This window comes from Homo sapiens, chromosome 12 (genome assembly GCF_000001405.40).
Source record: "Homo sapiens chromosome 12, GRCh38.p14 Primary Assembly".
Taxonomy (NCBI): Eukaryota; Metazoa; Chordata; class Mammalia; order Primates; family Hominidae; genus Homo; species Homo sapiens.
The window spans coordinates 103,800,524-103,827,189 of record NC_000012.12 but is presented as its reverse complement, the minus strand read 5'-3'; the positions used below and the strand labels follow the sequence as shown (position 1 = coordinate 103,827,189).

The window sequence follows — 26,666 nt, the reverse complement described above, 5'->3', positions numbered from 1 at the left end:
CACTGTAACCTCCATCTCCTGGGTTCAAGCAATTCTCCTGCCTCAGCTTCCCGAGTAGCTGGGATTACATGTGTGTTCTACCACACCCAGCTAATTTTTTGTATTTATAGTAGAGACAGGGTTTCACCATGTTGGCCAGGCTGGTCTCGAACTCCTGACCTCAGGTGATCCGCCTACCTTGGCCTCCCAAAGTGCTGGGATTACAGGCATGAGCCACCGCGCCCAGGCATATGTATTTATTGATTCATTTAAAATACCAGTCTGTTACCTGTCAACATAAATCACATGCTTTTTATGAAAAATGACTATTATCCAAAATAAAAGAAATTTAGAAGAATGTCATGGTTTTATATTTGTGCAAAGTTCTGTGGTGTCTGGATTAATAGACAGATTCTTAAATCTGATTCTGTCTATTGCAGTATCCTCTGGCAAAAGAGGTGAGAGTGAAAAAGGCAGATTGTCTCTGTATTTAATTTTCATTGCTTCTGTAACAAATTACCACAAATTAGTGATTGACAACAGTACAATATATTGTCTTCATAGTTCTGGAAGTTAAAAGTCTGACATAGATCTCACTGGGGTAAAATCAAGGTGTTGCAGGACTGCATTTCTTTCTGGAGGTTCTGGGGGAGACAGTTTTCTTAAGCTTTTCAGTTTCTAGAGGCTCCCCACATTGTTTGTAGCCCCTTGCATTTTCAAAGCCAGCAATGGCTTTCTGAGTCTTTCTCAAATCACATCCCTCTCACACTGAATCTTCTGCCCTCCTTTTCCACACTTAAGGACCCTTGTGATTACATTGGGTCCACCTGGATAATCCAGGCTAATAACTTTATTTGAAAGTCAGCTGATACCAATCTTAATCCATCTGCAACCTTAATTCTCCCTTGCCATGTAAGATAACATATTCACAGGTTCTAGGGATTAGGACGTGGATATCTTTGGAGAGCCATTATTCTGTCTGCCACATCTTACTATGAGAATAGTTTTGATCTCAAAGATTCCCTGGAGAGGAGGTTGGGGAGGTTTCCCAGATTATGCTGGTAACTGCTGATCTAGGAAAAATTATTTGTTGAATGAATGAATAGAAAAAAGAAGGGACTGACAGTTAGGAAGCACCTACTTTGAGCCAAGCACTGTGCCAAACATTTGACCTACCTTGTAATGTTTAATGGCTGTGTGACTTTGGGCCAGCTGCTGCTTAGCCTTATTTTCCCCATCTGCATATGAGGGATTGTAGTATTTACTTCATGGAGTTCTTGGGACATTAATTGAGGTGATGAATGAGAAGAACCCGGTGCACAGCATGTGGATGGCATTTATATAGGCATACATATTTCTTTTCTACTTCCTGTATATTCTAATGAAAAATTTTTGAGTTTGCCTATTTTTTGATCATTCGACATGGCTCTCTTCTCTTCGATAGGGTCTTGCTCTGTTTCCTAGGCTACAGTGCAGTGGCACAGTCAAGCTCATTGCAGCCTTGAACTCCTGGGCTCAAGGGATCCTTCTATCTCAGCCTCCCAATTAGCTACCTGTGCCTGGCTACTTTTAAAATTTTTTTTTAGAGACAGAGTTTTGATTTGCTCCGCAGGCTGGTCTTGAACTCCTGGCTTCAAGCCATCCTTCTGCCTTGGCCTCCCAAAGCATTGGGATTACAAGTGTGAGCCACTGTGCCATGCACAATTTTCTTTTTCTAAGGACTTTTTCCCCTGAAGCTGAATGTACTTTTCTTTTTGATCAGTTCCGTTGATTTTTTTAAAGATTTTTTTTAAAGATTAGGTTGTCATTAAACCATTACTATATTTAATTTTATTTCAAATGTAGTTGTATGTAGTTTTATTTTTGTAACTTCAAGAAGTGTGATGGATTTCTGTGGAGTAGTCAAAATACAGATATTACTTACAGGGTAATAAGAGGTATAATTTTAACTTTTGGTGGGAGTAGTATAAATGTCATGTGCATTATTAGTTAGTCAGATGAGTAATTGTATTTGTCATGGATTGCTTCTCCTCGGAGACGATGCAAAATATATAAACTAATGGAAAAATGAATGTTTCTTCTTAGATTATCAGACACAATGAAACTGACTCTTGAATTGCCTCTTCCCGGGGGGGCATGCCCAGCCCCATGCCAAGTTCCTCTGTCTTGCATCAGTGTGATGTTTGTTGGTCTTCCCCACTGCCTGTGATATTGCTCTGTATTTATAATCCCCATGTGGTGCCCTGTGCACTGTCTGGCACATTGTAGATATGGTAAGTGCTTATTGAAAAGGATTTCCTATGGATCTAGTAAATGAGAAAACCAATTTACAAGGATACTACAGGTTGTATGATCTCACTGATGTAAAATTCTAGCAAATGCAAAGGAATCTTACCAAAAGAAAATGAGTAGGGCCTGGGGCTGGGCAGGGGTGGAGGGAGGGTGGGCTGGAATTTAAGGGAATGTGAGGAAAGGCTAGGGGGTGTTAGGTGCTCATTGCCTTTATTGTGTTGGTGGCATCACAGATGTCTCTGCAGCATATGTCAAACCCCATCAAACTGTATACTTTATGTGCAATTTATTATATTGCACCTCAATAAAACTATAAAGTGAAAATACAGAAATAAGAGAAGGACTCCAGTTTAGCCTGGCTTGAATCTGGTACCCACCTCAGGAGTGGCCCAGCGTGAGTCAGGTGTTCTGCCCTGGACCAGCAGCTGTGACTGGAGGGGCAGGTCCCAGAAGAAACTGGAGAAGAGTCACTTCTTACATAAGGATTGGAGCATGCTGGGCAGGTAACCCTATCAGTGTTCACTTTCACCGTGGAAAGGATACCTTGGGCATTTTGTTTCGTCTCAACATCTGCCATTGGACTGTTGCAGAAGTAAAAATGACTTAAAACAGAGTGGTTATTAGAGATACTGGAGAAAACAGTTTCTGGGTAAAAATTTAAATCTCTTTAAGGTCTAACAGTTACACACTCTTAAGAATTGTCATCTCAACCTTGGCCTTCAAAGTCACACTTTCTATTCAACTGTTTCCTTTACTGTAATGAATTATTAGCAGAAAGGATATTAAGTGGACACAACTATATCAAATAACATTTGTTGGCACTGAGTGTAACATACCAAAACATAAACAAATGTGAAATTGCATTATGATCAGCTTGTTCCCTAGCATATTAGAAGAGGTTCACATGTTTCAACCATTAATAGCAGAACTGACTTTACTGCCCTGTGCCTAGCCTGACTGGGCAGAAGGAAGTTGGAACTTGGTGAAAGTTACTAGGAGATAAAACACCTGAATTAGGGTGTCTTTTTCTTGTCATTTTCACTGGCAGTTAGGGATGTGAAGTTTAAAAGTTTAAAATTTGGATATAGGACCTTGAGTTCACCTGTAGTGGAGTTAATGGAAAGGGTAAATACTGCCTCAGTGTAGAAACAAAAAATGCCTATGCTTATTTTCACATTTCCAATCCATAGGTATACTTTTAAAAGAAATTTTGAAACCTTGATGTTTTCAATCTACACGTGAACTTTTAAAGGAGAATTTGAAGCCATGTTAAATAAATATGAAATCTTAAAGTATTTGGAATATCTGGGAGTATTCTTGAAGTATATGAATATTATGAAATATAAACAGAAGTTGAGATTTGGTCCAATTAGGGAAAAGCAAATTAAAAAACACCCAGAAAACAAACCAAAAAAATGCTCTGTTTTGTTGATTTAGGAACATAGAAATAGATATTTAAAATGTGACCTCGAGCTGTTAATTTCATCTTCATTTTCCTCTGTGAAATGGGTATAATAGTGTCTTGCATTAAGTGAGGTCGTGTACTTCTTAGTGCCTGGTATATAGTAAATGCACATAATTATTATCCACTAGATTAACTTTTTGGTTGACTGAGCACTGGGGAGATTCACGGAAAGCCTCGTGGTACATGGAGGGTAGTGGAGAATGGAGGCTTTTTCTGTTTTTTTTTTTTTGTAACTTCTAAAATTCTCCGGGAAATTTTTCACCTCTTCCATTTCTTCTTCAGGGACTCCTGATCTGTATATTCTTTTTTTCTAGAAAAACAGCTTGAAATCTAGGACATATACCAAAAATAAAAATCATAACTAAAGAAAAATGCCATCTTAGTGTCTCTGGGATTGTGATTTACTTTATCAATACAATTGAACTTTTAAGGATTTTCAAGTGTATCTCACCTTCTCTGATCATATTCTTGCTAACATAGTAGGGTTTCTGAGTTCAAATATCTGAGATGTACGTTTGGGCCTCCAAATGGAGCATGTTTTCCCCCAGTTTTTGCTTTATTAATATCAATGCAACAAAATGTTTGCATATAAATCTTTACCTATATCTCTATTTCCTTAGCATAGATTCCTGGAAAGGGAATTACTGGGTCAAAGGGTATGAATATTTTTAACAGACTCTTGATACATATTGCCAAGCTGTTTTCTAGAAAGCTTGTTCTGATTTATATTCTTAAACAGCAAGGAGTGAAGCTGCCCAGGTCCTGGCACCAGATTCCGTTATTACAGACAAAACAAGAATAGAACACCCCCAAAACAACACACACGGATAGCACTACCACTAGCAGCAGAAACACTGCTGCAATCTGACAAGAGGAAAATGACTTCTTACTTTATTTCTTAGCCAAATAACACATGCTTATTATAGAAAACCATGTAAATGAAATAAAGACAGTAGAGACATTTGCAATTCCACCTGTTGAGACATCTACTGTTAACTGTGTTTACTTGTTTTAATTCGCTTTTTTTGGTAATTCGAGTGGTTGAACATTTAGTTTACCAGCTATTTAATTTCCTTTTGTATGGATTTTTAAAATATTAAGAATACTAGACCATTGCTGTTTGTCTTTTCAATTTTTTGGTCTAATATACTCACCTCTTTCCCCAAATTGTTGTTTTCATATTTTTAGATGCATAGGTGTTAAAAAATCTTATGTTGCAAATCTGTCAATAGTTTTCTTCGTGATTTATTCTGTTGCTTTTTTTTTTTTAACATTTGGAAAGTTATGTTTTATTCAGAGATGAAATAAATGGTATATATTCTTGTTTTTAATGTTCAAAAATTTTAAACTCTGACTCGCATGTTTCTTTTTCTACCTTTTTAATGTTTAAAATTTTTAAACTCTGACTCACATGGTGTTTTGTTTTATAGCATAATTTGAAGGAAAGTCTTACTTGACATTCTTTTCACATAGCTGATTGGTGTTTATGCATAGACATTAGACAGAGACAGAATATTCCAGGCAGATGTAACTCTGGTCAGTATTCAGCTACAGCATATGTTGGAGAACACAGAGCAGTGGATGACCCATCTTGTTGAAAGTAGGGCATGGGAAGGAGAATTTAAGATTGGAGAAATGGATTAAAGTATACATAGGGAATGCCTTTGATACCAGGTTAAAAAGTTAAAAATTTATCGTCAGAAGTTTGAGTGGCTGAATTTTCTTAAAATAAACTTTTTTAGAATTCCTTTGGATGTAAGCAATAGAAAACTTAACTCTTTCCCGTTGACATCTTTTCCAGGTTCCTAGCAGTGGCCCCTCACATCTCCAGATTTATGTTCTCTTAAATCTACCTTTGGAAGAAAAGAGTGCCTCTTCCCTGAAATTCCCTTACAAATCCAGAAATTGACCTGATTGGACTTATTGGTTCACTTTGGCTGTAGAGAAAGTATGATGATTGGCTGGAGGGGATCCCATGTCTGCCTCAAACTAGTCAGCATTCTTAAGGGAATTCAGGTGCTCTGTTAGGCCAGGCCTGGGTTACATGCCCTCCTTCTGGAGTCAGGAATGGAACCCCATGAGACCATACAGTTTGAATGTTGGGGAGGAGAGGTTTCCCAACAAAATCATGGTATTGAAGGTTTATCAGTCAGGTTAGGCTAGGTTATGCTGCAGTGACAAGCAACACCAAAATCCCAGTGGCTTATTACAGACAGCTATAACAAATCCTATTTCTCACTCTTGCAGAGTCTACTGGGGGACCCCCACAACTCTGCAGGGCAGTCAGCTCCACGTGGTGGCTTAGCCTTCCAGCCTCCACTTCATGTTGTAGTGCCTGTATCATATCTCCATGATAGGCACGGTAGGAGAAGGGAGTGTGCCCAGCTCTAGAAGTGACACATGTCTCTTCTGCCTGTGATCTGTTGTGACCAGAGCTGGCCAGAGTCGGGGTGAGGAGTGGAGGGAGGATTATGATCCTCCCCATGTGTCTGGAAAGTGGAGCCAACTGGATGGGAGCAAGTATGAGATGGCACAGCCACACTGGAGGGGCCCAGACACCCAGTGCCCACAGCCATCGCTTACCACAGGCAGCCTTTGGGACCTCGGTTTGTCAGATCCATCCTTCGCACCCTCCTGTCTTTATCTGACTGGTTCCTGGGATAACGATGAGAGCAAGTAATGCATTTGGTAAACTTTTAGAGCTCTCCAGTACTGTGTGCCTAAGGCCTGAGTGACAGGCACATCATATTTTTTTAAAACATTAAGAATAAATATTCATTGACATCAATCAGGCCATGAATTTCTGCTTGGTGTTGTCTCCACACACTGCTCTGTGACAGCTCTGCCAAGCTCTAGGCCTGTACTAAGGGAGAGTCATTTAGCATTTCTGAGCATTAAAGAAGACAAAGTACTTGGCAAAAATTGTACTTTCCAAGCTCACATCTTTACACAGCTTAAAAATGTTTCCTTGAATAAGTGGAAAGTGTCTGACTTCTGTACCAGAATGAGGTTCTGCCTTCTTTCATATTCTCTCTCTGTCAACAGTAATGATAAAATTTAGACAAGAAATGGTATTTTTCTGTGATGGCCTTAAAAAAGCAAAACAAAATGGAGCAGCCACTATGGAAAACAGTAGGGCAGTTCCTAAAACAATGAAAAATAGGATTACCATATGATTCAAGAATTCCCCTTCTAGGTATGCACCCAAAAAGATTGGAAACGAGGATTTGAACAGATACTTGTATGTTCATAGCAGCATTATTCATAACAGCCAGAAGGTAGAAGCAACCCAATGGCCTGTTGATTGACAAATGGATAAACAAAAGGTGGTTTATGTCTACAATGGACTGTGCAGCCTTAGGAAGGAGAGGCTGACATATGCTACACCATGGATGAACCTTGAGGTCATTATGCAAAAAGACAAAGACCATATGACTCCACTTCTATGAGGTTCCTAGAATAGTCAGATTCATAGAGACAGAAAGTGGAGCGGTAGTTGCTGGGAAAGCTGGGGTGAATGAGGAGTTTTTTAATGGGTACAGAGTTTCAGTTTTGCAAGAAGAAAAGAATTCTGGAGCTGGATGGTGGTGATGGTTGCACAAGGTGAATGTGCTTAATACCACTGAATTGCACTCTTAGCAATGGTTAACATGGTAAACTTTATGTAATGTATATTTTGCCACAATAAAAAACACAAAAAACCAGAACCAAAACAGAAAGCTTACCAGTTTTTCCTATAGGTTGTTCACCACATTTCCCAGTGCTCTGTGGGATAAGCAGACGAAAAGCTGGAAGCTGCTGAAAACTGGAAGTGCCAGGGGCTTTCCAGCTTGCCACACTGTGTGCTGGAGGGTGCACAGCTCCCAGCTCAGAGTGGCTTGCATTGGAACTGAGTTTTGCTCAAGCTGTGGCCACAGCAACAGAGCTGTCTCTCCATTTCTTTGTACTGATTGTATAGTCTTGCTGTCATCATCCACTATGTACAAAGGAATTCACTTTCTAAATTGGTACCCACTCTTGTTTCTCCTTTGAGAAAGTGTGTAAGTGACTAGTCAAGAGGCATTCAGTTTATACTTTAGAGTCTAAAGTTTAGCCAGACTGTTTCTGTTTTTGTGAGTGGTTGGCGTTCTTTTTCTTTTGCTTTGTAATTATTCATGTTTGTTCTTAACTTTTCTTCCTAAAGTTTGCACGGGGTGCCAAGATCCCTTTAAGATGCTGCTCCTCGTGTTCGAGGATGACACTTTAAACATCCAGGCTTTCAGGTGATGGTGTCATGTGATGTACGTGTCTCAGGCTTTCACTCCCACAGGGGAATTCCCATGCAGCTTTTGGAGATGTGCTGACCAGTCACGATTTTTTATCATAGTAGTTTTTCCTTGAGGGCTTCACATAGTCTTCTGAGGTAGCAGGAAGGGAGGGAGACTTTCTTGCCAACACCATTTCTAAATATAAACTTCTAATTAAGCAGGCTGTTTGAACCTCCTTTGGAAAGGTCATTTGTGAAAGTGGAGCTTTTGCTCATTCTGTAAGCGATTCCCCTTCACTTGCATCATATGGACGATGCCACGTGGTCGTATTCAGAAAATATCATCAGCAATGGCCCATTGATTTATATAAGGCCAGAGGATCTTCAGTATTAGATATCAAAGAGCTTAGGTCTGCCAGCTTCTCCTCTTCCCTAGAACCAGTTCTTGTGAACTACCTGACTCTAAGTTTCTTAAATGTCTGTAACAGATATGTCTTATTGGCAAAATAAAAATGAAAGCCATGGTTGTTGTGGCTGGGTGCAGTGGCTCACGCTGGTAACCCCAGCACTTTGGGAGATGGAGGCAGGCGGATCACCTGAGGTCAGGAGTTTGAGACTAGCCTGGCCAACATGGTGAAACCCTGTCTCTACTAAAAATACAAAAATTAGCCAGGCGTGGTGGTGCACACCTGTAATCTCAGCTACTTGGGAGGCAGAGGCAGGAGAATTGCTTGAACTTGGAAGGTGGAGGTTGCAGTGAGCTGGCATTGTACCACTGCACTCTGGCCTGGGTGACAGAGCGAGACTTCATTAAAAAAAAAAAAAAGGCCATGGTCGTTATCTCATTGATTTTGATGAAAGAAAAACCAATAAAGAAATGGAACTGTCAGTGAATTGACTGTTTGGGTTTTCAGTAGGCTCAGTCACATCTAGATTGTCAGTGTGAGTGAAATTAATTTATTGGTTCATACATGTGCCTTCATAATGACCTGGAAATTCTGTGTAGGGATATAAAGGCTTGGTTTTAATAAACTAGGTGCAATGTGGGAACTTAATTGGGAGCCATGAATAGGCTTTAGGGGATGAATCCCATGAAATTTTCTGCAAAATCTGCACATGCATGGAGAGGATTCCGTAGCTTCTGTTAGGTTTTGAGAGGGATTCAGATCTCAAAGCTGTTAAGGAGCCTTGTGAAATGCTCAGAATACCTCACTGTGGCTGGGTTGGTCCCTGACTGGGGCCTCAGTGCCCTGACTGGAGCTGTTACTATGCAAGAGGAATGCTTCTTGAACGTTTCAGGTGGCTTTTTAGAGTGAATGAGTATATTATGTGCCATTCATAGTCAGAAAGAAGTGAGTAGAAAGGAAAGGGGAAGCTCAGAAATGATGGATTGACTTTCTTTTATTTTAGGAAAAAATGCACCTGAAAGGGAGTTAAGAACATAGATTCTGGAGCCAAACTTCCCAGGTTCAAATCCCAGCCCTGCCATTTGGTGCTGGTGTATCCTTAGCAAATAAAGTAATTTCCATGCATCTCTAGTGTCTTCGTTTGTGAAATGGGGATAAAGTAGTATTTGCTTCCTAAGGTTGTGGGAAGGATTAATGAGAGAATGTAAAGTCTTCTTGATAGCATGTGGTACATGGTAAGTGCTTAATAAATATTAGCTGTTATAATAGAGTCAGGTGGTTGTCCTTAGTAATGTGAAAAGTAGTAAAATATGGACAGTTCAGGTTTTATGTACATGTACCTATCTCCAAAAAGTCACCTGCCTTCAGCATTTGTCTGCCTGTGAGCCATTTCAAGAAAATTTTGGTGCATAAACATCATAAAAGGTGAAAAAAAAACTGTCATATATAATTTTAGCAAAATAGGATAGTCTGTGTTTTTGTCATAAAAAATTGGATGATTGTGTTTGTCCTGTTAAATGATTAATCTGATGAGAATATCACATTTTTTTGTCTTTTGAAATCTATTGCTCAGTCTTTGATCCTGAATTTCATCTAGGATATGGCCATGGAGGCCTCGTCGTCTGAGATGTCACCCTTATGATCAGTTTCTCCATCATCATTAGGCCTAGAGAACTGCTGTCTCTCTCTGCATTCACCTCCTGGCACATCTGATAACTGTGAGATGTCTTGCCCTGTTAGCTTTCTTTCTTTTTTTTTTCTTTTTGCTGTTATGGATGGAAAATGAAAAACTGATTTCTCAACAGTGTTCCATGAAAGCAAAAAAAAAAAAAAGAAAAAAGAAAAGACTGCCAAGATGTTATCTTCAGACTTCTTTTATACCTTCTTGAAAGTGATGCAGTTCTTTGCGCAGTGCCATGAGAACTGAAGGATGATGTCATAGTGATGACTTATTTCACTACTGCACTATCTTAAGTAATTTCTTATTCTCCTGCTTTCTTAATTTAGTCTTTTAAAAAATCATAGGTGGCAATAATTGAGAGGTAATGATGAAATAATTCTAATAATAAAGCATTTCAGCATACTGGAAAAATAAGATCACCAACATCCTCTATCACATCTTAGATTTTTTAAAAGCATCCAGTGGACTCATGGAAATTGTAAAGTAGAATGAATTTTTGAAAGGCTTCCAAGAAAAAAATAGAAATCATGAAGTAGCAGTCCTTACAAATAGTTAGAACTGCTCAAAAAAGAAACCCAAACCTAACATCCAGTGGACCCTGATGGTAGAAGGTAGTCACACGTCTACAAACCCATCTGAAGGAAATCATCTGAAAGGTGAAGATTAACACATGAAGGTGCTCATTGCAGTGTTATTTTTATTAAATAGGAAAAAACTTAAATGTGTAACATAGAGTACAGGTTGGACATACCTGATCTGAAAATCTAAAATCCACAATGCTCCAAAATCTCAAACTTTTGCATGCTGACATGATAGTCCAATCACTCATTGGAGCATTTTGAATTTCGGACTTTTTGATTAGGGAGCCACGATTGGTAGGTATAATGCAGATATTCCAAAATATGAAAAAATCCTATATCCAAAATGGTCCTGTTCCCAAACGTTTTGGATAAGGGATGCTCAACCTGTAGTAGGTTGATTATGGCACACCAATATATATGAAAGTCTCATGTAATAGTTTGTTCTCAAAAAGTGTAGGATCATGATTGAATATTAAATTTAGTGAGCTCAATGCAAACCTGTAAATATAGTGTGAGGTTAGCTATGTAAAATACATACATAGAAGAATGTTGGCAGCAAATACATAAAATGTCAGTAGTTTTTTTCTGGGTGGTGAGATGATGTATGATATTTAGATTTTGTTAACTATACTTTTACTTTCTAAAATCTGCAAATATATTTTTTAAACAAATCTTTTTTGTGATGTTGAAGCAAATGTTCTTTTCGGTAGCAAATGTTCTTTTATTGAGGAATAATTTATATACCATACAATTCACCCTTTTAAAGTCTCCCAGTGGTTTTTAGTACGTTCACAAGAGGTGTTCAACCATCACCATTGGCCAGGTACAGAGGTGCATGCCTGTAATCCCAGTACTTTGGGAGGCTGAGGTGGGTGGGTTGCTTGAGCCCAGGAGTTTGAGACCAGCCTTGGCAACACAGGGAGACCCTGTCTCTACAAAAATTACAAAAATTAGTAGGGTGTGATGGTGTGTGCCTGTAGTCCCAGCAACTCAGGAAGCTGAGTTGGGTGGATTGCTTGAGCCCTAGAGATTGAGGCTGCAGTGAGCTGTGATTGTGCCACTGCACTCCAGTCTGGTTAACAGAGCGAGACCTTATCTCAATCCCCCAAAACCATCACCACCATCAATTTTAGAACATTTTCATCACCACAAAAAGAAATTCTGTGCCCATTAGCAGTGAGCGGTCCTAGGCAACCATGAATCTCCTTTCTGTGCCTATGGATTTGTCATTTCTGGACATTTCATATGAATAGGATCATGCAACGTGTGGTCTTTTGTGGCTGGCTTCCTTCACCAGCATATTTTCAAGGTGAAGCAAATCTCTTTTATAGTCTAGTTTACTCATTTTTTTTCTTTAGGAATCATACTAACCCTTATTTATTATGTAGTATAATGTATTTTTTTTCTTTATTTCCAGAATTGGTTCCTTCCATTATGAGCAACTTGTTGAATCCAGATGCCATTTTCTCAAACAATGAAATGAGCCTGTCAGACATTGAAATCTATGGCTTCGATTATGATTACACCTTGGTGTTTTATTCAAAGCACCTCCACACGCTGATATTTAATGCTGCACGGGACCTTCTCATCAATGAACACCGGGTAAGATCACAGGGACATTTCAGGCTTCTCCCTCCCCTTTTCCTCTTAGAACAGCCTTGAGCTGACATGACCCCAAGTCTGCCACAGAGAAGTCATTTAATAAATTGTTGCTAAATGAATAAGTAGATTTTGTTCCCTTCCAAGTAACTCTTATCTGGAAGATGATAGTTTTTTTAAAAAAAGTCTTTAGATGTCTTTTGGCAAAAGACCTTCCCAAGATGTGCATTAGTGGAGATTTGGCTGTAGATATTTACACTCTCGTCTTTCACAGAATGACACGGTGTCTCCTGGAGCTTGATGAATTGGCAGCCTGCCTGTTGAATTCTGGTTAGGAGGAATTCCTCAAATGATAGGAGATGTTTTACCTTCAACACCAATTTGAATTGCTGAGTACAGCATATTTGAATGTCTTTCTTCTGATACGTAGTATTGTTGAGAGTTTTTAATGAGGAAGGAAAAAAAGAAAATATGCAACCCTATCATTTTTTTCTGTAGTCTGATTTGAGTACACATTTCAGGAAGCAGGAAAAGAAGTGTCCTCAGAAGTCTTGTGGGCCCGTACCCTTTGAGACCCCTCCCGGGAAGTACAGCTCAGCTCTCCATCTCAGACAGGTGCATGTTGACATAGGAGGTGGTTCTGATTTTTGGGAAGTTCTTCCATGGGTTGAACAATTTTGCCTTCATACAGCTGTTACCATTGACCTCTTTTCTTCCTTGATTTATTGCTTCACATGTTTCTTAAGCCTCCTTGTGCCAAGCCCTGCAATACAAGCTGGGAAGATAAAGATGAGTAGGAGACAGGCATTGCCCGTGGAGAACCAACAGCCCAGTGGGGTCGTCGGTCACGTGGGTAGATCAGTTATGCAGCCTCCTAGTGGAGGTCTCCTTAGACATTGAGTGTGTCTGACTGTGATGGTTAGAACAACTTTCTCTGCCTTAGGGAATTGGGGAAGCAAAGAAGAAGGTGATATTTCAGCCAAATCTTGAAGGAGTTGGCAGCAAAGGAGGGCTGAGGGTGGGTATGAGTAACTTCTAAACCCAAATTATGCAAACTACTATTTTATATTTAACCATTCGAGTACCAGACATATAATGGGCTAGTGTTGTATAGACCAGCCATTACGCCCTCTAAGACTTTTCCCAAGTTGATTGTTCTTAGCTCTTTTAACTGTTCTCATTTGTCCTCTTTTCTTTTCATCGTCCTAGTCATCTTCCTTTGTGTGTGCTCTGGTTTGTTTCTCTCAAATGTGAGGCCTTGAAGATGTTACCCCAGGTGGGGTCTGGCTAGAGTGGAATAGAAGGAGACCATCACCTCCCTGGTTCTGGATGCCGTACTTTTATTAATGCAGCCAAAGTTCTCCTTAGTTTTGGATCCTAACCATTAGATTCAGCATATTTTCTGATCCCCCTCAGCTCTTAGTTATCTGTGGATTTAAGCAGCTCATTTTGTCCATATCCAAAATGCAGTCATGGCATTTGCCAAAAAGAAGCTTCCCTTCTGCCACTATGCCAGCAGCCTGCTTTCTTTAGTTATGGCCACTTTACTAGATGTAAAACCACCTAGCCACTTGGCATCCAGCAGCAGGTCTCGTTTGTTCAAGGGACTACTCTCTTCCATCTAAACTGCGGTCCTTTGCCTGGATCATGAGATGAAAGCCAACTAAGAACGAGGTGGTTCTGACCTTGGTTCCTGCCTGCCACCCCATGCCATCTGTTCACTACCCCCTAAAAGGTGGATCCAAAGGGGTGTTATATTGGTGCTGGCATTTCAGTTCCAGGTCAGCTGCAGTGTTTTCTGTGACTTTGATGTCATTTATAAAAAGCAAGCCATGATCCCAGTGGCAGTGTTCATTGATTGTCCACTAGGTGCTGAAAGCACAGGTTCTAAGGCCTCACTGCTGGGGTTCAAATTCTGCCTTTATCACTTAGTTCCTACATAATCTTGATTGACTCACTCAATTCCTCTGGACCTCAGTTTTCTCCCCTGTAAAATGGGCGTAGTAACAGTGCTTTCCTCACAGTCACTGTGGTAAATGAATTAGTAAATGTAAAGTAGATGGCACATAGAAAACACTCAATAAAGGTTAGCTATTTATTAATACTAATACTATTGTTTCTAATCTGTACAACAACCCTGCACACACATGTTGTCTCTGTTTACAGCTGAGGAAACTGAGGTTCAAAAAATTAAGCTACTAGATCAAGGCCACAGGCCAGTAGGAGACAGAACCAGGATTTGAACTCAAGTCTGTCTGTTTCCAAAGGACTCTATTCTCTCCTCGACTCCATGTTGCATCTCTTATGGGGTTACTAACACCTTTCCATCCTATGGTTTTTTTTGTTCAGATGCAAATAAAATATTCATGAAAATAAAAAATTTGTGAACATAAAAAGTTTATGAAATTTGAGGGGAAGAGAGATGAAATAGATGGATAAAATAAAAGCTGCAATCACTATTATTTGAAAAGCCTCTAGATTTAAGATCATTGAAATTTCATTCTCATTATGTCTGTTTGTTGCTTTGATAAAACTATAGTTATAATACTAATTATATCAGGCATATTAGTAGAGTCAGTTATGCTTACGCAAATTTTTCTCTTCTGATTAAACAAAATAATTCTTCGAAGATGCACTGAGTTCAGGGCCATTTTTGCAGCCAAGACCGATGCACTTTGTGTAGTTGTAGAAATGGAAAGACATCGCTTTTGAGACGCACAGTCATAGAACAGTAAATTTGCAATTTAGTATCTCTCCAAAAAGCAAACATAAAAGCTTCCAGCTCCTTCGTAATTACCCTTTTTAAAAAATAAGCAATTTTTACAAAAATGGAAATTTTTTTAAAAATTGAGTAATAACTGTCTATATTTTGATTTTATTTGTCCACCGAGGAATAGAAAGGGAGGGGTAGAGAGCTCTTGATTTCATCTCCCAGCTTCACACCTTAGTCAGCATTTCTTCTCTTTAGTTGGCACCATTGATCACCTGATTGTTCATATCCAAAGCATTGGCTGTGACCGCTCGCACTCCGTGTCCATGTCTGATCTCTCAGCAAATGCTATGCTCTCTTTTTCCTTTAAATAAACTTTTAGGATAGTTTTAGGCTTACGGAAAGGTTGCAAATACTGAGTTCCTGTATGTATACACCCAATGCCCAGTTTCCTCCAGTGTTAACACTTGACTAAGGTACATTTGTTACAACTAAAGAACCAATCTTGATACATTATTATTCACTGAAGTCCATACTTCCTTCACATATTTTTGGTTTTTATCGAATGTCCATTTCCTGCTCCAGGATCCCCTGCAGGACACCACATTGCAGTTAGTTGTCATGTCTCTCAGGCGCCTCTTGGCTTTGACAGCTTCTCTGACTTTCCTTGCTTTTTTAAATGACCCTGACAGTTTCGAAGCATGCCAGTTAGGTGCTATGTGCGTTTTCCTTATGATTAGCCTGGGTTATGGGTTTGGGGGAGGAAGACCACGAGGTGAAGTGTGGTTTTCATCCCATCATAGTGAGGGCCTCCCCAGCCTCCTCCAGCCGTCTCCTCTCCTCCCCTCCTGCTCCTTGAACCTCCAAACCCTTTCCTACTTCTGCCTTGGAGCACTCTTTCTTCCCCCAGATGAGGCTTGCTCCCGGCTTGCTTCCCCGCCCCCGCCCACCCGCAGATTTGTGAATGCTTGTATTGCATTTTCTTTTAGAACATACACTCCAAGGCGTTATATTCTGTGTGTGTATTTGTGTATGGTCTACCCCCCCAGGTAGAATGGGAACTTTGCAGGGGCAGACACTTTTGTCAGTTCTGTTCATTGCTGTATTCCCAGGCCCTGGCACAAAGTAGGTACTCAGTAAACATTTGACATCTGCATCCGTGAGTTCTGCAGGTAAGGGAGAGAGTTGTGCTTCATGTGGGGCCAGCGTCCTGATGAGGTCATTTTACTCTAGCATAGTGTTTTGTGTGGATTTCAGAGAGCTTAGTTTTTGTTCCCTTCTGCGTTGCCTCTAATTAGATGCGTAATTTAGGCTACTTTAAATATTAAACTGAGACCTCTGGAAAGCAGGTATGTTTATAGGCCTCTGGACCTCAGGAACCCACAGCAGTGTTGTAACGTAGAGGTTACTAGCTGTATCTGAGACCTGTAATTACCCAGGACTGTAGGAAATAGGCACACATGGAGAAGTCCTGGGTTCGCTGCTGCATTTTGGTATTAACTTTGCTTGAAGCTATAGGGACGTTTCTGTAGCATTTTCAGGGGGACACTTTGCTCTTTATCAGCACACAGGAATTTGCCCAGATTTTAACTGGGATTAGAACAAAGTCAAGGTACTAAAGGAAACCAGACTGGGCCTAAATTAGAATTTTAATAAAAACCCTAAGTCAAGGGCTTTATCTTTTATATTTCTGACTGCTTTTAGGGATACCAGTTATCTCCATAATACTTCACCTTGGGTGAGTCTTTTTATTTTTTCCCCCTTGGGTGGTGAAAAGTTTCTAAACTACGAAAAGTCCTGAAAATCTAGCTGAGACCGTTGGAGAGGACTGTAACCAACTGGCTGCTGTGAGCAGCTCTGGTTCTTGGGCTGGATGTCACTGTTAACAGGTGTTCTACTGATGCTGTGTGTGTGTGTGTTGGAAATGGGCCAATCACGAGGATGTTTTTGACTAGGCTGGTTGTATGGGGAGATTACAATTTAGGGGCAGGAGTAGAGCACAGAAATCACCCTAGTCAAAATGGTTCGACTAGAAGAGGCCTTGGAGAAGACTTACCTAAAGTCATACAGGAGAGTAGCAGGGGCTAGTAGGGTGGACCTAAAACCCCAGGCCGCCAGTTCTCAATCCAGCGAAGCCACTCAATTTTATTGAGCACTTCCCATGTGCCAGGCACTGCCCTGACTTGCCACACGCATTTTTGGGCTGAATCCTTTGCAATTCCAAAAGGATAGGATTCTTGTTATCTTTTCTTTGTAGATGAGAAAACCAAGGCTTAGAGGGACAGACGACCTTGCCCAGGGTCACCCAGCTAGCACATAGCAGGACCAGGATTTGATGCCTGGTCTCTCAGCCCCGGAACCTGTATTCTTCATTATGACATCGTCCTGTTGGCGCTTTTCCAGCTGCGTCTGTCAGTTTTCAAGATCATTGATATGGTTTGGCTGTGTCCCCACCCAAATCTCATCTTGAATTGTAGCTCCCATAATCCCCACGTGTCATGGGAGGGACCTGGTGGGAGGCAATTGAATCATGGGGGTGGGTTTTTCCTGTGCTGTTCTCACAATAGTGAATAAGTCCCAAGAAATCTAATGGTGTTATAAAGCCGAGTTCTCCTGCACAAGCTCTCTTGCCTGCTGCCATGTAAGATGTGACTTTCCTCCATGATTGTGAGGTCTCCCCAGCCATGTGGAACACTGAGTCCATTAAACCTCTTTCCTTTATAAATTACCCAGTTTCAGGTATGTGTTTATCAGCAGCGTGAGAACGGACTCATATAGTCACTCACTGTGGTCTTTGGACCAGATAAACATTGTGTATTTCTCAGGAGTGGCTCCCCAAGAATAACATTGAGAGTGAGAGGCAAGCGGAATGTGAGTGTGTGGAGGGCATGTCCTGCTGGGGAGCCCAGATAAGCCTCATTCAAAGAAAGAACCACCAGACTTTTCAGCAGTAAACACTCTCTTATTTAAGTGCCAGCAATCAACTAAAATAGTTGGTGCTCCACTCGTAACTGCAAATGCTTTCAGCAAACTTGTTGAACCCCTCTGAGGTGGCAGGTGCTGCTGTCACAGGGAGGCGATGAGTGTCCAGTATATAGTGGCTCAGAGTTGGTTCAGAATTGATTATGTGGTGGTTAGGGGTGGACTTGGGTGTGACACAGACCTGGGTTCAAATACTGGCTCAACCACTATCTAGCTGTGTGACCTTGGGCAAATTCCTTGCCCCTGATCTTCAGATTATTCAATAGTAAAATAGGCTTGAGATGCCTGCTTCCTTCATGCTGATGTAGTGAGGGATAAAGATAAAGAAAGTCATGGAAAGTGTCTAGTGTGTGGCACATAGCATATGCTCAGTGAAGGCACCGCTCTCAGTGACATATTAAAATATTTCTCTTCTGTCTGCCCTCTTATTATCCATCAGTCATGAGTTTAACAGGAGATTGCAGAGCTGCTGAAGTCCCTTGGCCCCTCTTCAGTAAGCAGATCCAGGGTGCCAAGCGTTGGGTTCTGTGTCAGCTTGTCAATTATGTCTGCAAAAATGCAGGACCATACACAGGGTTCTCAATTCTTGGAAACGCCCATGAATGGAAATGTCAGTTTGGTGATTTCTTGGCACACATGGCAGGTAGTGGATAAATGATCCCAAATGTGACATTTGAGTTAGTGCTTTGTGCAGCTTGACTTGAAAAATTGCCACATGCGGGTCAGCCTGCTGGTCCCAGGAAATGTTTTTGTACAAATGGAACCCTGGCTATGAAATATTAGCCGCTCAGCCATGGAAGGAGGTTTCCTGGGCACTTAATAGTTGTCTGGGTTTTAACTTAAGCAACTTGCATCACAGTTGGAAGGTCCTAGTGATGTTGCCTCTCTAGACTCAGGAATAGATGTTCTGTCCTGCAGGTCTATGCTCCGAGGGCAGAGGGGCAGTGGGGAGAGCAGGGGAGAAGGCCCCAGCCTGATTCTCTGCCCACCATACCCTAGTTTGTTTCATTCAGAACCTCTGATGTCCCTCTGAATAAAATGGGGATGGTAGGGCCTGCCGTGTAGTAGCAGCAGAAATGGTGCCCACAGATCAGTGCCATCCACAGGGTAGCTTGTGTCCTAATTCTGAGATTTAGGGAGAGAAGTAAGGACTTGGATACCTGGTGCAGTAGATAAGGAGGAGCCAGCAATTTTGCATAGTGTGAGGAATGGCTTGATAATAGGAAATACCCGGGGAACTGGGCTGCTGTATTAGTTTCGTTTTCATGCTGCTGATAAAGACATACCCAAGGCCGGGTAATTTATAGAGAAAAAGAGGTTTAATGGACTCACAGTTCCATGTGTCTGGGGAGCCCTCACAATCATGACAGAAGGTGAAAGGCACATCTTACATTGGCAGCAGGCAAGAGAGAGAATGAGAACCAAGTGAATATAAAACCATCAGATCTCGTGAGTATGGGGGAAGCCGCCCCCATCATTCAGTTGTCTCCCACCAGGTTCCTCCCACAACACGTGGGAATTATGGGAACTACAATTCAAGATGAGACTTGGCTGGGGACATAGAGCCAAACCATATCTGCTGCCTTCACAACTGTTCTGAGACAGAGTGCTGGATAGTAACCGTAATCCATGTGCCAAGGAAGGGCCTCCCTAGGCCTAGTGTGGGGAATGCTGTGTCTGACAGCCGTGGGGTTGCCCAGCTGGAGGGTGGGCAGTGGCCAGCTATCCAGATGAGAGAAGCAATGAAAGCTCTATGGAGAGGCTCCACTCTGAGAAGTTTTCACCTTAAGGCTCTCCGTGAAACCTGGTAATGGGGCCGTCCAGGGGCCTGCCACATCAAGGTGCTCACATATGAGTTGAATGGATGGTTGACAATGAGTTTGGGTAAAGCTGTGCTTCCAGTATTAGGGGGAACATTCCTTTTATCTGCAGCAGCCTTGAAGATAAAAGGAGGGAGTGATGGGTGGAGATTGAAGCCGATGTGTTCCTGGGGTCTTAGGGATCTGGGAGTCTAGGGACACAGGTAGGGGAGGGAAAGAGAGGAGAGAGTTGAGAGAAGTTGGCAGGGGAGAGAATGAGGCCCAGCCTGTGCTTGGGCAGATGGACAGGGTACAGGGCAGGATGGAAGGCTCTGGCCAGCGTGCTTGCTAGGAGGCGCTTGGATTGGAAGCAGAGGGACAAGCTGTGGTCTGCCCCTTCTGACCCCAACCTCCCACTGGTGTATCAACTACCTCAGCCTTTGTACAAGGGCCAGATCTGGACAGGATCCTGCACTTGGCACATTGTTGGCTAAAACCAGTTCCTTTCTTCTTTCTTAGTATCCAGCAGAAATCAGGAAGTATGAGTATGACCCAAATTTTGCAATTCGTGGACTTCATTATGATGTACAGCGGGTAGGTTTACTTCTCCTGTTTTTCTATGGTTTAATGATGTTTGGAAATGAAATGTACTGTTGGTACTTTTCTTTACTGAACGGGCAAATTAGTTTTAAATTATGTTATTTGGGACTGCAGAACCAAATTTATTCACATATATTTGGATAGAATCTTCTGGAAGAGACTATGTATTAGAAAAGCATAAATGCATTTAGCTATTTAGGAGGTACTGTTTATTTCTAGTAGTCATTTTGGTGTTTGGAGGAGGAACCAGTTGCCATATCTATTTTTTTCCCCTGTCTTTTGCAGATAGGCCATTTCTTTAAAGAGCTGTACAGCACATTAATTAACAAGCAACCCTTTCAGGAATATACAGTGTGCTTCCTTGTTAGGGCAGCCTAATGTTGATAGGATATATGATGACACCTGGATGGCTCATGTAATATGCAAATAGTCATACATTATTTACATGTGCATATGTTTATGTTTTTAAAGGCAGTATTAATGAAGATCGATGCTTTTCATTATATCCAGCTGGGAACTGTCTACAGGTAAGAGTAAGAGGAGATACATTTAATTTACGTGAAGTAACCAGGTGCTTTGGGTTTCAGGACCCTCTGACTGTTTAATGATGAAGAGGGCTGCAGTGTGAATATGATTCATTCATTCACTCACTTACTCAAGAGCATTTGTTGAGGCCTGCTACCATGCCAGGTGCTAAGGGCTTGGTGTGCCTTGATGTCCTCAAGGAGCTCAGAGTGTGGGTGGGAAGTCATGTAAGTAAACTTGACTGCAGTTCAGAGTGACAGAGGTGATGATAGAAATGTGCTCAGAGGTCGGGAGCAGTCTGGAGGACTGGAGGAAGGACTGGTTTTCCAGAGATGCTGGCTGGCAAGCTGAGGGAGGGTCCTGATGAGGAGACTTGGAGCAGGAGGGCTATGGGGGTGAGGGTATAGGGTTCTCCTTCCCACCATGGTATTTGGGTGGTTTGGATATTGAGACTTTTTTTTTTTTTTTTTTTTTTTTTGAGGTGGAGTCTCGCTGTGATGCCCAGGCTGCAGTGCAATGGCACAATCTAGGCTCACTGCAGCCTCTGCCTCCCAGATTCAAGTGATTCTCCTGCCTCAGCCTCCCGATTAGCTGGGACTACAGGCACATGCCACCATGCCTGGCTAATTTTTATATTTTTAGTAGAGACAGGGTTTCACCATATTAGCCAGGCTGGTCTTGAACTCCTGACCTCAAGTGATCTGCCTGCCTCAGGCTTCCAAAGTGCTGGGATTACAGGCATGAGTCACCACGCCCGGGCGTCTTTGTAACTTTTAAAATGGAGAACTTGGCCTTTTTTTATTCTCCAATTTGGGAGGGGATTTAGGAGTGTGATTTGTATTTAGGTGCACAGCTTATACTTAAAAGTATGTCTTAGCTTACATTCTTCTCTCACAAACTTTGTTAAAATTAATGCTTGTTTATTTTTAAAATCAAAGTGAAACATGGATAGAGTCACACAGTCAAACAGGATTAAAGATGTCACAGGGGTCAGCAGTAATCTTCTGTGCTCCCCTCTGCCCCTAAAACCTTTAAAGTCTTTAGATTTTTTAAGTAATGTGCTCATTCTTCTATTTCCTAATTTATTAATTCTGGATATTGTCCCTGCTGTGGTAGATAAGGACTTAGCTTTCTGGCACCTCCTCCCACTTCTCCAGTCTCATTCCTCTCATCTCATTCAGATCTCAGTTTTTGGTGGTTGTACTGGTCACTGTTTACATTATGACTCAGAAGGTCTTGCCTGGTTCACTCTTTTTTTTTTTTTTTGTTATTGAGATGGAGTCTCCCTCTTGTTGCCCAGGCTGGAGTGCAGTGGCGAGATCTCGGCTCACTGCAACCTCTGCCTCCCAGGTTCAAGTGATTCTCCTGCTTTAGCCTCCCAAAGAGCTGGGATTACAGGCATGTGCCGCCACGCCCGGCTAGTTTTGTATTTTTAAAAGAGACAGGGTTTCACCATGTTGGCCAGGCTGGTCTTGAACTCCTGATTTCAGGTGATCTGCCCGCCTCAGTCTCCCAAAGTGCTGGGATTATAGGCGTGAGCCACTGCATCCAGCTGGGTCACTCTTAAGCCAGGTAGTGCCGTGCGATTATTTTCTTTCTTGTACAATATTTTGTTTTTCTTAGATTTTAACAATAATCTCAGTTTTTGTTTGCCTAGTTTTCTGTGTAGGTATCTCTGATTTTTTCCAAATAGTCCATTACAAATGTTAGGCATGTATTTATTTTCCAATAATTCAAATGTTTTCAATAATTTGTCACTTTTTAAAAAAAAAATTGACTCTCCCCTCCTGGTCTGATCTGGTTTGGTTGCTTGTCTTGGGACTTCCCTTTGCTACTTTCCCTGTTTCAAATTCCCTTCTCTTCCTCTCTCTGGCTTTACTCCCTCACTTTGCTTGAGTATATCCTCCAGTAGCCTCCTGGTGCCTCCTTGTGCTGAGCCTTTCTGCAGCTTGTGGTGGGGAATCAGTTCTTGTCATGGGTATACCCCTTGCAGGCCTCTGTTATCAGTGTTAAGTCAAGATACCTTCTTTGCATCCAGTGTTTGTCTTCCAGTGTCTTGTGGAAATGTCTTGTCTATTGATGTCTTTGCTCTCATTTCCTTTGACTGTTTTTACTGTCACTTTAATAGTGTTTCAGGATGGAGAGGAGGTGGTGGTGATGATGGTAATAATATTACTAATAGCGACTAGCAAATATTGAGTCTTGCTATGGGACAGGCACTGTTATAAGGGTTTTGTTTAACTCATTCAATCCTCAAAATAACTATATGAAGTAGGTACTATTATTAGTGCCAGAGGTGTTAAGTAACTTGCCCAAGGTCACACAGCAAATAATTGCCTGGGCTAGAATTCAGACCCAGGCAGCCTGGGTCCAGAGTCTGTGCTCTTGGCCACCATGCTGTGTGGCCTTTCTTAAGGTACAAGGGATAGTTGGAGTCCCTCAACACATTTTTTTGGGGGGGGGGTGGTAATGAATGAATCTATTTTAGTATGGACAATTACAAATAATCTTTCCAGCAAGATCACATCTTGCTGTGAAACATGGATGGAGCTGGAGGCCATTATCCTTAGCAAGCTAACGCAGGAACAGGAAGCCAAATACTGCATGTTCTCACAAGTGGAAGCTAAATGATGGGGACTCATGGACATATAGAGGTGAACAATAGACTCTGGGATCTACTGGAGGGTGGAGGGTGGGAGAAGGGAGAGGATCAGGAAAAATAACTAATGGATAGGGTACTAGGGCTTAGTACATGGGTAATGAAATATCTACAACAAACCCCCATGACATGAATTTACCTATATAACAAACCTGCACATGTACCCCTGAACCTAAAAGTTAAAACAAAAAACTTTTCATGTATTTTGTAAGTAACATGTATATTAAATATAATTAATACATTTTTGTGCACATGTCTCATTTTCTTAGGATAAGTGAAATTGCCAGGTGAATGTTGTTCATTCATTTTAAGGCTTTTGAAATGGCTCAGTTTACCTCCAGATTGTACCATTCCCAACAGACTTACTTTTAACTTATATTTTAAAGTTGTTGCTACATTTAACATATTACAATTTTTAGTTTTTCTTTCTCTAAACCTCTTAAATGAGCATTCATTTGTTCCCCTACTCATAGCTCCTAATGTTTTCCCAGAATTATTGTTGCAGTGGTGAGGGTGGGGGAGAGAACGAAGAAGGCAAGGTTATGCATGTTTATGAGAATCCTCACCAGGTCTCTCTATTCTGTCTCTCCATCTCTGTTTCTGCTGTTGGCCCCCTCCATAGACACTTACCCCTTCTCTCCTGGGTTCTTGGGGTTTGCTGCAGGGCACTCCATCCTGGACATTCTTGCCAGACTGATTCCCTAAATCATTACTCCCAATAATCCCCTCCTCTGAATGCCTGGATGGCTCCCTGCTCTCTACAGAATAAAGGCTAAGCCATATGCTTAGGCTTAGGTTTGAGATTTTTATCAACCTGCTTTAAACTCTTCGCTTCCTCTTCTTCCATACACAGCTCCTTGACTTACTAGATTGGTCAAGACTCTTGGTTGAAAGTGACTGAAACTCAAACTGGCTCAGAAACTAATGGTACAGTCCACAGACAGAGTGAGCTTGCAGGTGTGGCTGGCTCCAGGGGCCAAATTGCTATTGTCAGAACTCTTTCCAGCTCTTGGCCTTCCTCTCTGGCTTGGCTCACTCTCAGGCAAGCCCCTCCTTGGTGACCCCTGGCACTACCAAGCCCACATCCCCCCAGCTCCAGGTCAAGAAGAACAGAGGAGCTTTGTTTCTCCACATTCCACTGGAGTCTCAGGACTGAATCTCATCAGAATGACTTGAGTCATGTGTTTGGTCTTGAACCATTATGATGAAGAGAGACAGGATTCCGGGCAGGCAAAGACAGCACAGGGATTCTTTTCCCTTGACATCTTCTTTCTTGCCACCTGGCATTTGCTCCTGCTGGTGTTCTGCCAGCGTGCAGTTTTCCTTCCTCTCTGCTTCTTGAAATCCTACCCACCCTCCATGGCCAACTTGTGGTGAGTCCTCTGCTCACCCTCTCAGCCTGAAATGCTTTCTCCTCTTTCTTCTCCTGGGGTTCACAGGAGAAGAATTGCCTTGTTTCTTGTATATACACTGTCCATTGTGTCAAGGAGTATGGACAGTGTATGAGGCATTCAGGGAGAAGGAGCGTTCAGAATGAGGCTGTAGGGAAGTTCACTGTTGCATCGCTGCTGAGAAGGGTGTTGAGGTGAGCTGGACTCTGGAGGGAGTGTGTGGACTCGAGTCACTCACGCTTCCTGGGTGCGAACCCCAGCTCCATGGCTCACACGTGTGTGGTCTTGAGCAATCTCTGGACCCTCTGAAAGCCTTGGTTTCCTCCTGTAAAGCAGGCATGATTCCAGTGCCTGCCTAAGGGGCAGCTGGTGAAGATGAAGCATACCTGCACAGGGCCCAGAATATAGGGTGGTGCTGCTGGGCTTCGTGCCTCACATCACGGGGTTTAGTCCACTGAGCCTTGCGTGTGGCCATTTCCATTCTTAGCACCACTCAGAGAAGAGTATTACAGGGCAGGAGGATGTCTGATGGAGACAAAAACAGCCTTTCTCTGCCCTAATGTGTTAAATACATTTAAAAAAAATGCCAGCCTGTCTGGGCACTGTGGCTCGTGCCTGTAATCCCAGCACTTTGGGAGGCTGAGGCAGGTAGATCACGAGGTCAGGAGATCAAGACCATCCTGGCTAACATGGTGAAACCCCGTCTCTCCTAAAAATGCAAAAATTAGCCGGGCGTGGTGGTGGGTGCCTGTAGTCCCAGCTACTCGGGAGGCTGAGGCAGGAGAATGGCGTGAACCTGGGAGGTGGAGCTTGCAGTGAGCTGAGATCGTGACACTGCACTCCAGCCTGGGCGACAGAGCAAGACTCCGTCTCAAAAAAAAAAAAAAAAAAAAAAAAAAAAGCCCACCCCAAAGCAAGTCATTAGGAAGTCTTGTACCTTAGTGGTTTAATTAAGATCCTGGGCATGCAGAAATGTCACTTTTCTTCTCTTTCACACCAGAAGGGGCCATGAATGAGAGAAGGTGGGAAGAAAGTGTCCCTTTCTAAGGGACGCTTTGTTTCTAAGCAAAGTGTCTCAGCCTAGTTTGTTTCTAAGCCCTGATGCAGGTCCCCAGTCCCTACACCAGGGTGAATTTTATGATGTTTGGCCCACAGGAGTGAGTGCTGCCAGCTGGGGAAGTGGAGGGGGGTTCCGTACTGCAGCCTCATTTTTGTACCTATAGTTTAAGTTTTTACTAGGAACCTTGTGAAAAGCTGGGGTGGTTCCTTTCACAGCCACACTAGTGAAGCCTCTCTATAGTGCTTACATAGACCAACTGTTCTATACGTGGTAGCTCCTGTGATCTTCTCAGTGACATCAGGAAATAGGCACTTTTATAGTTCTCTGCTTTAAGAATGAAGACTTTGAGACCCAAAAGGGATAAATTACTTATCAAGGTAATATCCCTAGTGATGAAGGGAGCGGGAATTGGAAGCCCTGGCAGACTCATTCAGATCTGTGCTCCTAACCTCGTGTTTCTCATGCAGAGCTGGGGAAAAGGAGCTTCCACTTCGATTTCAACGCTGGTTGAGGCTGCATTCAGATGTGGCCGGGCAATCTGCCCATGCCTGCTGCAGTTGTGTTTGGCTCTTCATTCGATGCAGCTGCTTCTTGGGGAATTCAGCTGGCAGATTTCACTGCGTCTTCTGAGCCGCCATTTGGTTGCTTGGCTCTTGTGGATGCAGCCTGGGTGGCTGTGCCTGTGCCTTA

At 42.1% G+C, this 26,666-nt stretch overlaps 1 protein-coding gene and 1 long non-coding RNA gene across 15 annotated transcripts in view, besides 2 other annotated features; one reads left to right on the top strand and one right to left on the bottom strand.

Moving 5' to 3' along the window:
- The window catches only part of NT5DC3 (5'-nucleotidase domain containing 3), a 94,920-nt gene that overhangs the window by 14,045 nt on the left and 54,209 nt on the right, over positions 1-26,666 (top strand). For 13 of the 14 annotated variants that reach the window (XR_001748758.2, XR_007063093.1, XR_007063092.1 and 10 more), the window contains exons 2-4: positions 12,069-12,253; positions 20,261-20,335; positions 20,813-20,868. Coding sequence is in view for 5 of the 14 variants with exons in the window: in NM_001031701.3 (NP_001026871.1) it covers positions 12,069-12,253; positions 20,261-20,335; positions 20,813-20,868 (316 nt within the window). In the remaining 9 variants the exon portion in view is untranslated. Of the gene's footprint in view, positions 1-12,068; positions 12,254-20,260; positions 20,336-20,812; positions 20,869-21,589; positions 25,111-26,666 lie in introns of those variants that run through there. The other variant, XM_011538476.3, reaches the window with a different exon arrangement.
- Positions 5,862-6,031: an enhancer, noted in NCBI's record as "experimental_23365 CRE fragment used in MPRA reporter constructs". NCBI's record gives its function as "activates a minimal promoter by MPRAs in K562 erythroleukemia cells, with activity observed for both the introgressed and non-introgressed 12:104215022 variant alleles {active_cell/tissue: K562}" and the evidence as "EXISTENCE:reporter gene assay evidence [ECO:0000049][PMID:34662402]".
- On the bottom strand, positions 12,166-24,496 carry LOC124903000 (uncharacterized). The gene is made up of 2 exons (XR_007063429.1): positions 24,156-24,496; positions 12,166-13,025 (listed from the first exon to the last, which is right to left on the bottom strand). It is a non-coding gene; the product is annotated as an uncharacterized LOC124903000 (long non-coding RNA).
- Positions 15,784-15,953: an enhancer, noted in NCBI's record as "experimental_23314 CRE fragment used in MPRA reporter constructs". NCBI's record gives its function as "activates a minimal promoter by MPRAs in K562 erythroleukemia cells, with activity observed for both the introgressed and non-introgressed 12:104205100 variant alleles {active_cell/tissue: K562}" and the evidence as "EXISTENCE:reporter gene assay evidence [ECO:0000049][PMID:34662402]".